Source organism: Homo sapiens, chromosome 17 (genome assembly GCF_000001405.40).
Source record: "Homo sapiens chromosome 17, GRCh38.p14 Primary Assembly".
Classification (NCBI taxonomy): Eukaryota; Metazoa; Chordata; class Mammalia; order Primates; family Hominidae; genus Homo; species Homo sapiens.
This window is the reverse complement of record NC_000017.11, coordinates 35,730,185-35,744,490: the sequence shown is the minus strand read 5'-3', so window position 1 is coordinate 35,744,490 and position 14,306 is coordinate 35,730,185. Positions and strand designations below refer to the sequence as shown.

General features: G+C 54.6%; 1 protein-coding gene across 4 annotated transcripts, besides 2 other annotated features; it reads right to left on the bottom strand.

The window, feature by feature from the left end:
* RASL10B (RAS like family 10 member B) lies at positions 970–12,852 on the bottom strand. 4 transcript variants are annotated; one of them, XM_047437043.1, is made up of 5 exons: positions 12,613–12,852; positions 10,665–12,350; positions 9,091–9,453; positions 3,958–4,082; positions 970–3,456 (listed from the first exon to the last, which is right to left on the bottom strand). In XM_047437043.1, exons 2-5 carry the CDS (start codon positions 10,692–10,694, stop codon positions 3,186–3,188), a joined length of 789 nt encoding a protein of 262 aa, XP_047292999.1. In that variant the 5' UTR covers positions 10,695–12,350; positions 12,613–12,852; the 3' UTR covers positions 970–3,185. The 4 variants fall into 4 exon arrangements, 3 of the variants coding, with proteins under 3 accessions (XP_047292999.1, XP_016880789.1, NP_201572.1); XM_017025300.2 differs by lacking the exon at positions 12,613–12,852 and having other exon boundaries at positions 970–2,686; positions 3,360–3,456; positions 10,665–12,449; NM_033315.4 differs by lacking the exon at positions 10,665–12,350.
* Positions 11,436–11,959: an enhancer, noted in NCBI's record as "H3K4me1 hESC enhancer chr17:34059551-34060074 (GRCh37/hg19 assembly coordinates)". NCBI's record gives its function as "activates a minimal SCP1, AML or CMV promoter by ChIP-STARR-seq in primed H9 embryonic stem cells {active_cell/tissue: H9 hESC(primed)}" and the evidence as "EXISTENCE:reporter gene assay evidence [ECO:0000049][PMID:30033119]".
* Positions 12,708–12,857: a silencer, noted in NCBI's record as "silent region_8440". NCBI's record gives its function as "represses an Ori minimal core promoter by ATAC-STARR-seq in GM12878 lymphoblastoid cells {active_cell/tissue: GM12878}" and the evidence as "EXISTENCE:reporter gene assay evidence [ECO:0000049][PMID:35858748]".

Genomic DNA, 14,306 nt, shown 5'->3' with positions numbered 1-14,306 from the left:
AATTTCAGAAACAGAGTCTTGCTCTGTCACCCAGGCTGGAGTGCAGTGGCGCTATCATGGCTCACTGCAGCCTCGAACTCCCAGGCTTCAAGTGATCCTCTCACCTCAGCTTCCCAAGTAGCTGGGACTACAGGTAGGTGCCATGACACCTGGCTAATTTTATTTTATTTTATTTTTTAGAGATGGGGTCTTACTATGTTGTCCAGGCTGGCCTCAAGTGATCCTCCTGCCTTGGCCTCCCAAAGCAGTGGGATTAAAGATGTGAACCACTGAACCTGCCTCCCCCTGCCCCCCAGCTTCTTGAGTCCCTCACTCCAGGACTGTGGTGGTGCGGGGAGGTATAGCTTCAGATGTTATCCCACTGGAGGAGATGGGGACTAGAAGGAAGGAGTTGGTGGTGAGAGAGGCTTCCTCTTTTGAGGCTCAGCCAACCTTGCCAGGCAGCCCCATCTTTCCTGGAAGTGGCTGGTGGGTCAGCACCACGGACAGAGACCAGTCCTGCCCTCAACACACAGGCTCCCACAAGGCACCCTTGCCCAAGATTTCAAAGCTTTGCTCTGGAGTTTGGGACCTGAGATCACTCAGGGACAAGACGGGTGGCTGAAAGTGTTCCTAACACATCTACATCCAAGAAGTTATGACTGAGAGGCTGTAAAGTCTCAGCCTTGAGTGGGAAGGACGAGACGCAGACGGAGAAGCTGGGATTGAGTCCCATTATGGAAATTTTCCAGACAGTGGCAGGGGAGAAGTTCTGCTTCCCTTCTGAATGGTTGGAATTAGCTGGAGGGTTTGGGGTTAGGTGGAAAGGTGATAAATCCCAAACTCTTCACCGGTGGTCTCCCTGTTGACCTGGGCTTTGGGACTGGGGGCCACCTCACCACCTTCACCCTCCTTCCACACGGAGCTCAGCAGGCAAGCCCTGTGGGGACCCCTCCCCTCCTACCATGAGGAATGGAGCCAACACCTTGGTACAGAAACGAGGGAAAACACTCCCTGATTTTTAATCTGACTTCGGGTAACAGCTCAATGGGCGTCACACACACTTCCAGACCCTGTGGTGGGAAACCCTGGGAGCGGGTGGAAGGAGAAGGACAGAGACTCAGAATGGGGGTGGAGGGACCTGAAATCCAAGACCTGGGTTGAGGTGGAGGCGGAAGGGGGCCTGTCAGGGGATACATTCCAATGGCTCCCACAGGGGAGCAGCCAGAGGCCTGGGCTCCGCCCCCCCACCCCAGGTGCCTCAGAGTTGGTGATGGGGCATGTGAGATGCTGCCATCCTTCATCCGCTCCCTCTGGTGAACCAGGGGGCAGGGGTGCAGGAGACTAAAGGGGCAGGCCCTCTTTGTTACCCTCCCAGCCACTCTAAGGTGTGGGGAAGGGGAGCCACCTCCTCTGTGTCAGAGGGAGGCTCACAGAGGGCAGGTCACTTGCCCAAAGTCCTGCAGCACAGCAGGGACTAGAATGCAGGAACACTAGACTGCCCAAGGTCAGGGCGGTTGCTGTGAGGCTGTGCTACCCCCCACTTGGTGGACAGAGTGGGAATCCGCTGGGGAAGCAGAATCATAGATTCCCCCTACAATGGATGTTGGTGATAAATTCCCCACCCACGACCCTTCCCCCAGACTCTGCTCCATCACCAGTCTGGGCTACCTGATTTCCTGGTCTATATGCTGCAGCCTTGGCTAGGTTGGCCAAAGCGGAGTTGTCCTCTCTGCCCCTCTTATAACAAGGGACCTTGCTGTCCCCCCACCAGGCCAGGGCTGAGGGCTCAGCCTCAAGGACAGCTTTCTTTGGCCAGGGGAGCAGGGGACAGGGCACCACTTGTCCCTCCCTCCAAGTCCCCCATCAATCCCTCATGCCATTCCTAGAATCTTCATTATTATTGTTATTTCTAAATCGGTACAAAACTGACAGTGATCAGCTCCGGTGACGAGAGGTAGAAACCCGGCCAGGCAGCCGGAGAAAATGGGGTGGAGTGAGTTAGGGTATAGGGCTGACTGGTGTTGGGACAAGAGGGTGTCAGATCCTGAGGGCCTCCATCTGTGGCAGGAGGAAGATGCAGGTGTGTCTCCCCCAAGTACAGGGGTCCCCACCATTCTTTCCCTGGCTCTGTTCTTCCCCAGATTAATCAGGATAGTCTGAGATCTGAGGCAGGCAGAGTCTGGGGTAGTCAGATGGGGTTGAGACGGGGCAACAGAATTTTCACTGGGACAACCTAACCCCCTTCTGGGCACCATCCTGCCCACGACCAGACCCCAGAACCCAACATTCCCCAGTCTGACAGATCAGATTGCAGTATGCAGAAGGGAATAAAGGACTGGAGCCTGGCATCATGAAAAAGAAGCTATCCTTTGGGGGGCTCCCTTTCCACACTCTGTCCAAAAAAAAAAAAGAAAAAAAGTTTTAACCCAGGGGGTGATCTGGCTTTGGGGTCAGGAAGAGTGAGGGGCACCTGGCAGGGACGGACCATCGAGTTAAGGCTGGAAGGTAGGTTGTTGTGTCTCTGGGGGCTGCTGGGCGGGGAGGTCTCCCTGGAAGCCGGAGAGCTCAACCTTCTCCCCTCACTGATCTGGGACCTCGGTCCCCCGGACCCCTTGATCGTGGTCCTTGGGCCACCCGCATCTCTGCCCTGTGCCGGTGGTGCTGACAGTCAGAAGGCCTGGCCTCACAAAGAAGCTGCCAGGATCTGCGACAAGGGGATGGACGAAATGAGAGCCCTGTGAGCGGAGCTGGGAGGGGACTGGAGGGTAGGTGAGACAGGTAAGTACCAACAGACGCTGGGGTGGGCGGACACGGGAAAGGAAGACACCAGGCAAAGACAGACACATTCTGGAGAAGACACGTGGGGGCCCGGCCAAGGCGGCACCTCGCCACCCCCAGCCTCCATTGCACGCTCACCCCCATCCCAAAAGGCTGTGGCACCCCCGCGGGTCGGGCCGGGCACTGCACTAAATACAGCACTGAAGGCGGCTGTCCCAGGAAGCCACGGGGGCAAGGGGCAGGGCTGGGCAGTTACGGAGGGCTCCCTCTCGCGCTCTGCTTCTCACCGGGAGGTGCGTGGCTGCAGGGGCCTCAGGCCGGGACCGTCACAGTTCCATTTCCCGCCCGCTCCCCGCCCCAGCCCCGCAGTACGGCCCCGCCCTCCGCTCGGCCAGTGCCGGTGCAGCCCGAGGGGCGCGCAGGCGTCACATGATGGCGCAGCGGTTGCGGCGCAGCGCGCCCTGGAAGCGCAGGGCAGCGTGCACGTGCTTGCAACGGGCGCAGCCGACGCTCTTGAGCAGCTCGCTGAAGAGCAGCAGGATGTGCCAGTTGTACTTGGCCGAGCATTCCACGTAGCCGCACTTCCAGGTCTTGCGTACCAGGTGCGACACGTTCCAGCGCGGGATCACGCGTCCGCGCTGCAGGTCCCGCTTGTTGCCCACGATGATGATGGGCGTCTCTGAGGTTCCGATCACCCTGTGGGGCGAGGCAGGCAGCTCAGAACTCTGTCAGCCCCACAACCGCTGTACTCCCAGCAGGGCAGGCTGTGCCTGGCCAATACTACCACCACCGTAGGTTCTGCTCCAGGCGCAGCCCTAAGCCCTGGAGGTGTTATATTCTCTGATCAGCACAACTGACCTAAAAGATGGGTTCTACTGTTATCCCCATTTTACAGATGAGGACATAGGCTTAAATGTTTACTGGCTTCAAGTCATGCAGCTGAGTGGCCCTGGAAGTCTTGTTCCAGAAGTCCCAGTTCTTAACTACTGCACTACTCTAGCCACCCCCACAGCCACGGTCCCAACATGAGTTGACAGAAATGGGAACAGCACAATGTATGCATGTTTGAGTGTATGTGTGGAAATCTTAGAACACATATACCTCTATCTGTGTCCCTATACTGTGCCCTTTTCACAGGGACTGGCTAGCACTGGGGCATCCACAGAGGTGGCAATGGACTGTGTTCCAGCCTCTCACCTCGTCTCCAGGATCTGCTGGCGGATGGTCTTGACGTACTCAAAGCTGTCAAAGCAGCAGATGTCGTAGACCAGGATGTAGGCGTGGACACTCCGGAGTCCCCTGCAGCAGGTGTCTGCCCACTCCTGCAATATCCCCAGCCAGTACCAGGGTCAGAGCAGCCATGAGGGCTCCCCTAGCCCCCAAACACCTCCCATCAGAGGGGCAGTGCTCTCACCTGCCACTGCACCTGAAGCCTTCCATACCCGACCATCCCCAGGAGACCAGGCCCAGGGAGAATGGAGGAGCTGTAGCCTCCCCATTCCCAAGCCAGGATGGAGCAGGTCACATTGTTTGATCTACAGGGCCACTGCACTGTCTTGTGCACATCTGGAGTTTAGCTCTGCCTTGCTCCATGTCGTGCCCTCATCCATCCATCGAGGCCTTTGTTCAACAAGTACATTTATTAAGTACCTCTAAGAGTCCAGCTCTGAGCTGGGTGTTGGACCTGTTAAAATTCTATCTTCCAAGGTTCAGCTAAAGTGCCACCACCTCCAAGAAGCTTCCTGATTTCCCATCCTTCCTGCAAGCAGGGGACTACTCCCTTCATCTCCTGTGTTCTAACAATCCTTCTATTACACTTTCATTAGAGCTGTTCCATCTCCAGTTCCCCACTTCTGCTGTGAGCTCCTGAGAAGGCCACAGCCAGGCCATCCTCATTTGTATATACTCCCTCTTCCTCCCTGAGTGTCTAGCACTGTTGGCTCAAAGCAGGTGCTCCTTAATAGCACTACCTGGGCTGGTGAGCTCTCCATGGCCCAAGCTGGGATCAATGCAACTCCTGCCTCTGCCACTGCCCTTAGACTGCTACCTGATGTGCCCCTTCTGTATGCTTCTCTCTGCCCTCAGGGTTGAGAAACAGAAAAAGATTCAGACTGGATGCATAATGGGCTGATGTAGAGTAGGGCCCCTGGGCAGCTCCAGGGAGATGAACTTCCTGAATGTTTGTGGCAACTTCTCAAGGGATTGGGGGGTACAGCTCAAGGTGAAGAGACTCCTAGAAAGGCCAAGTACACTAAAGAGAAGTTTCCTTAACAGATTCATTAGTCAACGTGCCAGCTGCAAGAGCGGTTTCAGGCAGCCAGTGTGTGGAAAGAAGGGGGTCCCTAAAGGTGGGGGGACAGAGGCCTCCAAGGACAAAGGAAACCAGAGTCTTCTCCCACCAAAGCCCAGGCAAAAGACTAGAAGAAGGTGGAGGTATGTCTCCTGTCCCAGCATCTGAATTGAGTGGGGCAGGGGCCAGGCACAAAGGAGGACTACAGTTCTCCACTTCCAAGAAGGATCAAAAGGAAACGACTTTGGTGGCAGTAGTGCAGAGTTAAGTCCAACTTCAGAACAGCACTTCCCAACTCAAAGGCTTAGAAGATGCTGCAGTGGATTTCCCTAGGGAGATGATGTGGCATCTTTTCTTTGTGCTGAGGTTTAAATTTTTGGTGCGGCGGGAGGATGCCGAGGACAAACCTAAAACCATAGGAAACTGGTTTCTTAGGCCAGGGAAGACTGCATTCTGCTGGACACAGTGATCTCCAGGAGCCTGGAACCTGTGTATACGGATGCTCCCACGATCCCCCAAGACCAATGGAGATCAGTGAGAAGTGGGAGGGATGAGAAGCTCCCAGTCTCTTCAAGCTGTCTGCTGGGGAGAGGGAGCAGCTGCCAGCTTTTGAGGGTGACAGCCCCACCTCTCCCCCAACATGTTGCCTCCTTGAGGGGAACTCCTGGCTTCCTCCCACCCACTCCTCTCTGGGGGTTCCTAAAAGAGAGAGGAGGAAGGCCCCTGATTGGCTAGCTTATCCCTTCCCCCTTGATTGAAGGGAGGAAGCAGGGTTCCAAACTGTAAAAGGCCATCTTGGGGCTCTGTCAAGACAGAGAAGGAGCAATAGAAAGGGAGTCCAGTTTCAGGGACAAGGCTCAGCCACCTGCATCTCAACCATGCATTTGCTGATAATTCCTTTGGTGAGTTGCAAGCACCTGATAATCTCAGCTTCCTTCTCTGATAGAAGGGGCTGCAGAAGACACTGAGGCTCACACCCAGGAAACACTACTCTCCTGGGCTCTATCTCATCTGGCATTGGAGAAGAATGTATTATTTTGTTTCCAGATGGTGGCCATCAGGATTCTTAGGTTTTATACTTAATCTTTGGTGCCTTGAGGATACCTTTTTCACAGTATTTCTCTGCCAAAAGTCCCTTACTGGGCTCCAGGAGTGAAATCTTGGATATCTTAGAGTCCAAAACTCAGGGTCAGTCAAGAAGAAAAAAGCCAACAACCCAATAGAAAAATGGGCAAAGGACATCAATAGTTCTTGAAAAGAGAAACACAAAGGCCCTTAAACCTATGAAAGATGCTCAATTTCACCCACGATCAGAGATGCAAATGGAGACTACAAGGAGAATATCATATCTCATCTCTCAGATTGTCAAATATATTGTCAAAAGTTTGACAATATACTCTGATGGCAAGACTGTAGGAAAACGGGCTCTCATATACATTGCTCACAGGAGCACAGCATACGCCACTGCTATGGAGGGCAATCTGGAAATAACCTCCCCTCCAAACTCCAGTTACAGTCACACTTTTTTTTTTTTTTTTTTGAGACAGGGCCTCACTCTGTCACCCAAGTTGGAGTGCAGTGGCACTCTCAGCTCACTGCAGCCTCAACCTCCCGGCCTCAGGCGATTCTCCCACCTCAGCCTCCCAAGCAGCTGGGACCACAGGCATGGAGCACCATGCCTGGCTAATTTTTTGTATTTTTGGTAGAGACGGAGTTTTGTCATGTTGCCCAGGCTGGTCTCGAACTCCTGAGCTCAAGTGATCCGCCTGCCTCAGCCTCTCAAAGTGTTGGGATTATAGGCATGAGCCACCTCACCTGGCTCTGTATTCACAATGCCATTTCCAGGCATTGTGATCCAGCAGTGCCATTTCCAGCAATGCCCTTTCCGGTAATTGATCCCACAGATATACCTACTTATGTTCAAAATGACCTATCTACAAGGCCACTCATTGTGGCACTGTTTGAAACAGCACAAGACTGGATACCACCCACTTATCCAACAAGAAAGGACTCCATGGTATAGCTCTTCAATGGAGTAGGGCGTGGCCATGAAAAAAGAATGAGGACGTCCTCTAGATAATGGCCTGGAAAAATCTTCAGGTTATAATAGCAAGTTAAAAAAATTGAGGTACAGCGCCAAGCACAGTGGCTCACACTTGTAATCCCAGCACTTTGAGAGGCCAAAGCAGGAGGATCGCTTGAGGCCAGTAGTTCGAGATCAGCTTAGGTAACACAGCAAGACCCATCTATACAAAAAATTTTAAAAATAAAATAAAATCAAGGTACAGAACAGTATGGTTCTTGTTTTTGTTTTGTTCTTTACGTAAGAAGCAGGGAAGAATGCATTTTCTTACTTGGGTAAAGAAACACTGAAAGTATGGATAAGAGACCAGGCGTGGTGGCTCATGCCTATAATCCCAGTACTTTGGGAGGCCTAGGCAGGCGGATCACTTGAGGTCAGGAGTTTGAGACCAGCCTGGCCAACATGGTGAAACCCCATCTCTACTAAAAATACAAAAATTAGCTGGGTGTGGTCGCAGGTGCCTGTAATCCAGCTACTCAGGAGGCTGAGGCAGGAGAATCGCTTGAACCCGGGAGGCGAAGATTGCAGTGAGCCGAGATCGTGCCACTGCACTCCAGCCTGGGCGACAGAGGGAGACTCCATCTAAAATAAAAAAATAAATAAATTTTAAAAAAGAAAGAAAAATTCGATAAGAGTGGTTATAGAGAGTGGGGCAGGAATCAAGGTAAAGGGGGCAAGATGAAATCAACAAAGCTCAGTGTGTAGGCTTGGAGCAAGATTTGAATGTCCAATCAGGTGATTGTTAAAGTCTCCTTTAGAAGAGAACTAGAAGGCCCTGCATCCAGACTGTCTGCCCTGACAGGCTCAGCCTCACTGCTTCCAGGGCAGATGCGGGATCAGGCTTCCATCTTTCCTCCTGACCCCAGGTGCCTGGGATGGGTGAACAGGTGTCTCCGGCAGATTAGGCCAGGGCCCTCCTGCCTGGTGTTGCCGAGAGTGCTGAGTGCTGAGCTGCCCGCCATCTCCCAGCCCAGGGTCTCAGCCTGAGAGACTGCTTGATTTGCTCAGTTACACCTGGACGAGCCTTGTCCCCTGTCTTCTGGGCCTCCACCACTGTGCCTGTCCTTCCTGGAAAAGCTCTGTACACTCTGGTCAGAGGCTTCCTTCAGTGAGCAAACATGTCCTAGAGCTCAGCTTCCTTTTTCTCTCCACTCCCTCTCAAGTCAGAGGTTGAGAGAGGGCAAGAGGACCTGGTTCCAGCAGGCAGTGGGGAAGGAACACAATAAGTGAGGACCCTCAGGCATTTAAATCCAAACCTGGCAGGGAGGGTGCCCAGCAGGCAGGTCCTGAGGTCAGGGGCAGAGCATCACTTAAGAGAAGAGGGCCTTGGGCAAGAGACCTGACTGGGGTCTCCAGAGTCTCCAAGAACACACCTTTCCCAGGGCCCCGTCTGTTCTGCTGCTGTCCCTTCTCCAGAGGATGTGGAGTGAGGTTACGGTAGGCACAGCTCCGAATACTCACAGTAGCCTAGTGTTCCCTGTCCTTTTCTCTACTGACTCTTACCTGCCTAAAACCTATTTAGTTGAGACATCACCCTCTGTGACCCCCCAACTCCACCCCAACACATCTGGATGGCCTAGATGCCCCCTTAAGGGCTGCCCCAGCTCCCTGCTCCTCCAATCATAGAACTTATCACACCATATTTGCCTTTTCTCACCAGACTATGAGTTTCTTGAAAGCAAATTCCATAAATTTTTTGCTCACCATTCTGCACCAGTGCCCACTGCAGGGCCTGGCACACATTGAACGGTCACCAAATATTTGTTGAATAAACTAGCACACCAATGAATGGATTCCTGGAACGGCTCTAAGCAGAGTGGCCCAAGGTGCAGTGTGGAGCTCCCAAACTCAGTGATGGGGCCCTGGCAATAGGGCCCAAGCTACAGCAGTTTGGAATCCAGCCTCTCCCCTACCCATCCGTTTCCCCACTAACCCATGCCCCCCAGGGTCCTCCTACCTGGAGCGTATTGACAGGGAAGGCGCTGATGGGTGGAAAGTCGAGGATCTGGAGGTCGTGCACGTGGCCGTTCATGACGACAGCAGGCAGGTAAAGGCGGCGGGCGGTGGTGGGGACGCAGACCTCGCTGAACTCGTTGTACAAGAACTGGCGCACGATGGCACTCTTGCCCACACCTCGCGCCCCCAGCACGGCCACCCGGTAGGTGGAGACCATGCCTCCCGCCCCACTCCGCCACCTCGTCCTTGCCGCTGTCTGGGGCTCCCCCGGGCTGCATATTCCAGGGGCTGGGGGCTCAGCCACCGTCAGGACCAACCATTGCTGCCTCTGCTTGCCCTGGGCCCTCTGCGGCCTCCACCTGGACTGTGGGGACAAGAGGTGGGCTTAGTGCACTGGCTTATCCCTGGACGTGTCCTGCACTTTTCCACCTTTGGGACTTTGCTGAAGCTGTTACTGCCACTTAGAATGCCTTCCCTCTCCCAGAACCCCTGTGGCTGCCTTTCCAAAACCTCTCCATCCCTCCTCCATTTTTTCCTGCATTCCAGTAGTAGGGCCCAATCTTTCTTGACTTATGACTTGACTTTTCTCCAGGTCCAACTCCAACCAAAACAGGCTGCAGAGCAGAGTGGGAAGCGCACTGGACTTGGTTTGATCCCAGCTTCCCCACAGAGCCTGGGACAAGACGGCAACACCTCTGAGTCTGTGTCCTCCTGAATGGGTGGGACTGGGCAGGTGTGTCTCAGTGCTGGCACTCCTGACATTTTGTGGGGAGAGAACTCGATTGTGCAGGACTGCCCACACATTGCAGGACATTTGCTTTCCGTGGCCCCCAAGAGGTAACTGCCAGCCTCCAGACACCATGATGACCAAAAACTCCCCCTGCCCCCATTTCCAAATGCCCCTAGTTGAGAATGCTGCACTAGATGACCACGTCGCCTCTGGGGTGCAACACTGCTGAGCACTTACTCTGCTGGCATGCCCATATGGTTATCCTTGGTCAGTACGACATCTCTAAGGGATAAGTACTGTTATTCCCACTTTAGAGAGAAGCTTAGAAGGAGTAAGAAGTGTGCCCAATCACAACCCGAAGGGCAGCTACTCCTTTCTACGATGTCGCAGTACTTCTTCCAACTTTCAAGTTGGCTGGAGTACAGTGGCATGATCTCGACTCACTGCAGCCTTCACCTCCTGGGTTCAAGCCATTTTCCTGCCTCAGCCTCCCGAGTAGCTGGGATTACAGGCACCTGCCACCACACCCAGATAATTTTGGTATTTTTAGTAGAGATGGGGTTTCGCCATGTTGGCCTGGAATCCCTGACCTCAGGTGATCTACCCACCTTGGCCTCCCAAAGTGCTGGGATTACAGGCGTGAGTCACCGCGCCTGGCCAAGTTCAGTGATTCTAACCAGTGAATGCATATAGGCCAAGGTCTGGGTCTGATTCTCTGGCATCCCCTAGAGCCCAGAGGGCCTGGCACATAGCAGGTGCCCAGAAAAGGGCTGCTAGGGGTTTGGGCCTTGATACGAATTCATCAGCTCTGGTGTGTCCTTGCTGCAGGTCAGTGGGCAAATCACCTTCTCAACTGGAGCCATGCTTCTGCACATAGGTAAAATGAGGTCAACAGCCCCTACTTCTGAGAAAATCCAAGTAAATCTCTTAGCCAGGAAAAGGAGAGAACCTTTCTTCTTTTGTTGGTGATGGTGACCAGAGAGGCTGTTACATGCCTGAGACCTCCTGTCTGGATTCCCAGGAGGGTGACATCAGCACTTGCTAACTGGCTCCAGGGCAGGTGGGTTCGCCGGATTCTGGCAAGGCCATGCTTTTCCGCATGGGTGCATACTTCTCTGCAGATGCATGTTCTTTCCACATATGCACAAGCCACAGCTGAATGTCCCCCAGGTTGTCCTGGTTCAGAGGACTCACTCCACGGGGTATGTGCGCACACAGCATAGTAAATACAGGTCAGGATGTGGAATGAGAACCGCCAGGGCTTGATTCCTAGCTCTGCCATTCACCTGAAGTGTGACCTTGGGCAAGAAACTTTATTAAGTGTTATGATGTGTGCATGTAAAGCCCAGTGCCTAGGCCAGAGTAGGTGTTCAATAAACAGTGACCACTGCTATGGGCAGGGGTCATTCATTCATCTAAGCTTCCCACAAACTTAGCAGTGGAACCTCCTAGCAATCCCAGGAGGGGCTGCTATCTACTGTTGCATGAGCTCACATGCATGCAGTGTGCGTGAGAGAGATTCTTCTCATTTTATTGAAGGTTTAAAAAACAAACAAACCCCCCAAAAAACAAACCCAGTGACTTAGGGAAGTGAAGACCTCATAGCCAGTTGAGTTGTTAACTAAGATTAGGACCCTGAACTCCTTCCTGCCCCATGCAGTGTCCCTTCTCCAACAGGTGTTTATACACTTACATGGGCTCCCAACTAGGGGGAAGTACCTATCCCTCCTCCCCATGTGTCCCTCCAGGTCCCGAAGCCCCTTAGGCATCCCTGGACACCACTACCACCAGCATGGCAGAGAGACTCAGCTGGGTTAATTACATAACCAGTACAGGCAGGTGGGGAGTGGGGAGTCCTAGGGGAGGAAGAGAGGGCAAGGAACGCCAAGAAGAGTCCTGGCCTCTCTCTGGGTGTGGCAGCTCAGAGATTTCTAGGATGCACCCTACCTGCAGATTGTCGCGGACACCACACTCCCTGCCCAGAAACCAGCCCTTTCTGGGGAGCGGCAGGGAAATGCAAGAGGGGCACTACCCAGGAGCTAGGAAGGGGGTGCAGGAGGCCCCTAGGCTGGGGCCAGCCTCCTGGAACTCATCAGGTCCAAGTGTGGCCCTGTCCCCAACTCAGAAGCGATCGGTGCCCCTTCCTTCTTTCCAGGCAGAGGTCCTGGATCTAAGAGTATATTAATCCAACACCCTTGGCTGAGTGCGGAAGGGAGGGGGCTGTCCCAGGAAGCAGGGCCCAGGCCCCTGAGCGCTTTCTCCCCAAGGCCTGCGCTCTGCAGTGAGTCTGCAGACAGCGCCCGGCAAGAGACTGCCCGGAAAGAGAGGCAAGAGACCAGAGACACACACAGGGGGCGAAGCCTGGTTCCGTCCCCTTCCCTGCGTCTGGACACCTGGGTCGCTGCCCAAGGCTGAGAGCGGGGGCTTCGCGGATCCCGAGGGCCGGGTCACAAGTCTGCCAGCTGTTTGTTCCAACCACGTTCGCCTGGGGGTGGGCTGGGGGCGACAGAGGATGCTGCGCTCCCCATGACCTGATTGGTAGGAGTTTGGGGGGATGTAGAAGCCCAGCTCGCTCTCCGCCTCCAGCACCTTGCAGGCACCCCCACCCCCAGCTCCAGCTCTCACGTGGCGGCCCCGCGCCGCTTCCCCGCCCGCCCGCCCGCCGGCCCCCTCCTAGTCCCGGACGCCCCTCGCCCAGGCCGTCTCCTCCTCCCCCGACCCCGGCCCGACCCCCCGAGCCCCTGACCCGGCCCCGCTCCACCCCTGACCGCTTCCCCTCCTCCCGCCGCTTACCCGGGGCCGTCCTAGCTGCCCCCTGCCCTGGCCGGCCGGTCGGCGGGGCTGAGCTCCCCCCGGGCTCCGGCGCTGCCCCCCGGCTCCCCCGCCCGGGGGGAGAGAAGTAGGGGCTCCCCCGCCTGCCCAGTCGGGGCGGGCTCAGGGCGGGCGCGCGGGGGCAGATGCGGGCCGCCGAGGGGGTAGGAACCTCCAGCCCCAGCTCTCCCTCCGGAGCGCGCCGCCTGCTCGCGCTGGAAGGAGGAGGGGGTGCGGGGGTGCGGGCTGGCATTCCGCTGGGTCCCTGAGCCTGACATATTCGCTTGGGCGGCCCTGGACGAATTCTTTAATCCCTGGCCTCGACCTTCGCACCCCTCCAGACTCTCCCTGCGGGAATTTAGCTGTAACTTGGAGGAGCTGAAGAAAGGCATGGGAAAGCCCTCAAGGCCTTTGCTCATTCCGACTCTTGGCCTCATATGCCCCTCGCCCAGGCCTGTCACCAGGCCACTGTGTGCCCGGCACAGTGTGTTAGAGACATCCAGGCTCTGCTCCTCCACCCTCCTCAAGGGCTGAGCGAAGGGTGATCACTCTCACCCTTCACTGCTGCAGTGAAAGGCAGAGCTGGCTGGCACAAAGAAGGTCTCCCCTGCCAATGCTGACCTCCACGCCCCTAAAACTGTCATAGGCCTCTTCTCTCCAGAATGGGAGATACCAGCATTTGTCAGGATTGAGGGCAAAATCACCCATGTATTTATTCTAAAAGTCATCATCTCTAACCTTTAATGATCAACGTCATGTCATAATCAATGTCATCATTGATAGGCAACCTCTATTTTGCCAGTGCGCTATGAGCTTTGCATGCATCCTCAGATTGAATCCTCACAATTCTACGGGGTAGATTGTTTCCTCCACTTTACAGATGAGATAGTTGAGGTCGAGAAGCTTGTCTCACTTAGATGTAAAATGTGAATACAAAGATTGGGAGTCCCTAGCTGAGCAGTCACTGATGAGTTTGGTATTAGGCTCACAGTCCAACGTGAGATCAAAAGCAGACCACACAACATTAAAATGTGCTGTGTGCAAAGTCAAGGTTCTGCGGAGGGCAGGGGAAGTGGGACAACTCATTAGACGAGTCACTGAAGCTTCGCAGGAGGCAACTTTCAAGGAAGCAACCTTGAAAGAAGTAGATTTTGGGGCTGGGTGGAGGGAGATTGTAGCAGAAGAAAGCTACGGAAGTCAAGAGCAATTACACAGGCTTGAGAAGTGAGTCTGGGAACCAGACAGGAGCCCATGAGGAAGCATGGTGGGTGGAGAGGCGAGAGGTTGGTCACAAAGGCCCTGATTGACAGGATGAGGAGTTGGGATCCAGCCCTGTGCTGGATGGGAAGTCATCGAAGAGTTTTTTGTTGTTGTTGTTGTTTTTGTTTTTGTTTTTGAGATGGAGTCTCGCTCTGTTGCCAGGCTGGAGTGCAGTGGCACGATCTTGGCTCACAGCAACCTCTGCCTCCTGGGTTCACGCAATTCTCCTGTCTCAGCCTCCAGAGTAGCTGGAACTACAGGCACGCGCCACCACACCCAGCTAATTTTTGTATTTTTAGTAGAGATGGGGTTTCACCATCTTGGCCCGGATGGTCTCCATCTCTTGACCTCAGGTGGTCCACCTGCCTCAGCCTCCCAAAGTGCTGGGATTACAGGCGTGAGCCACTGCACCCGGC

Excerpts from the sequence above, each read along its gene's own strand:
- RASL10B (XM_047437043.1), bottom strand. The coding sequence starts at position 10,694 with ATGTGCAGAAGCATGGCTCCAGTTGAGAAG. Across the intron at positions 4,083-9,090 it reads TCCCTGTCAATACGCTCCAG|GAGTGGGCAGACACCTGCTG; the intron begins GTAGGAGGACCC and ends GGGATATTGCAG. Across the intron at positions 3,457-3,957 it reads CAGCAGATCCTGGAGACGAG|GGTGATCGGAACCTCAGAGA; the intron begins GTGAGAGGCTGG and ends CTCGCCCCACAG.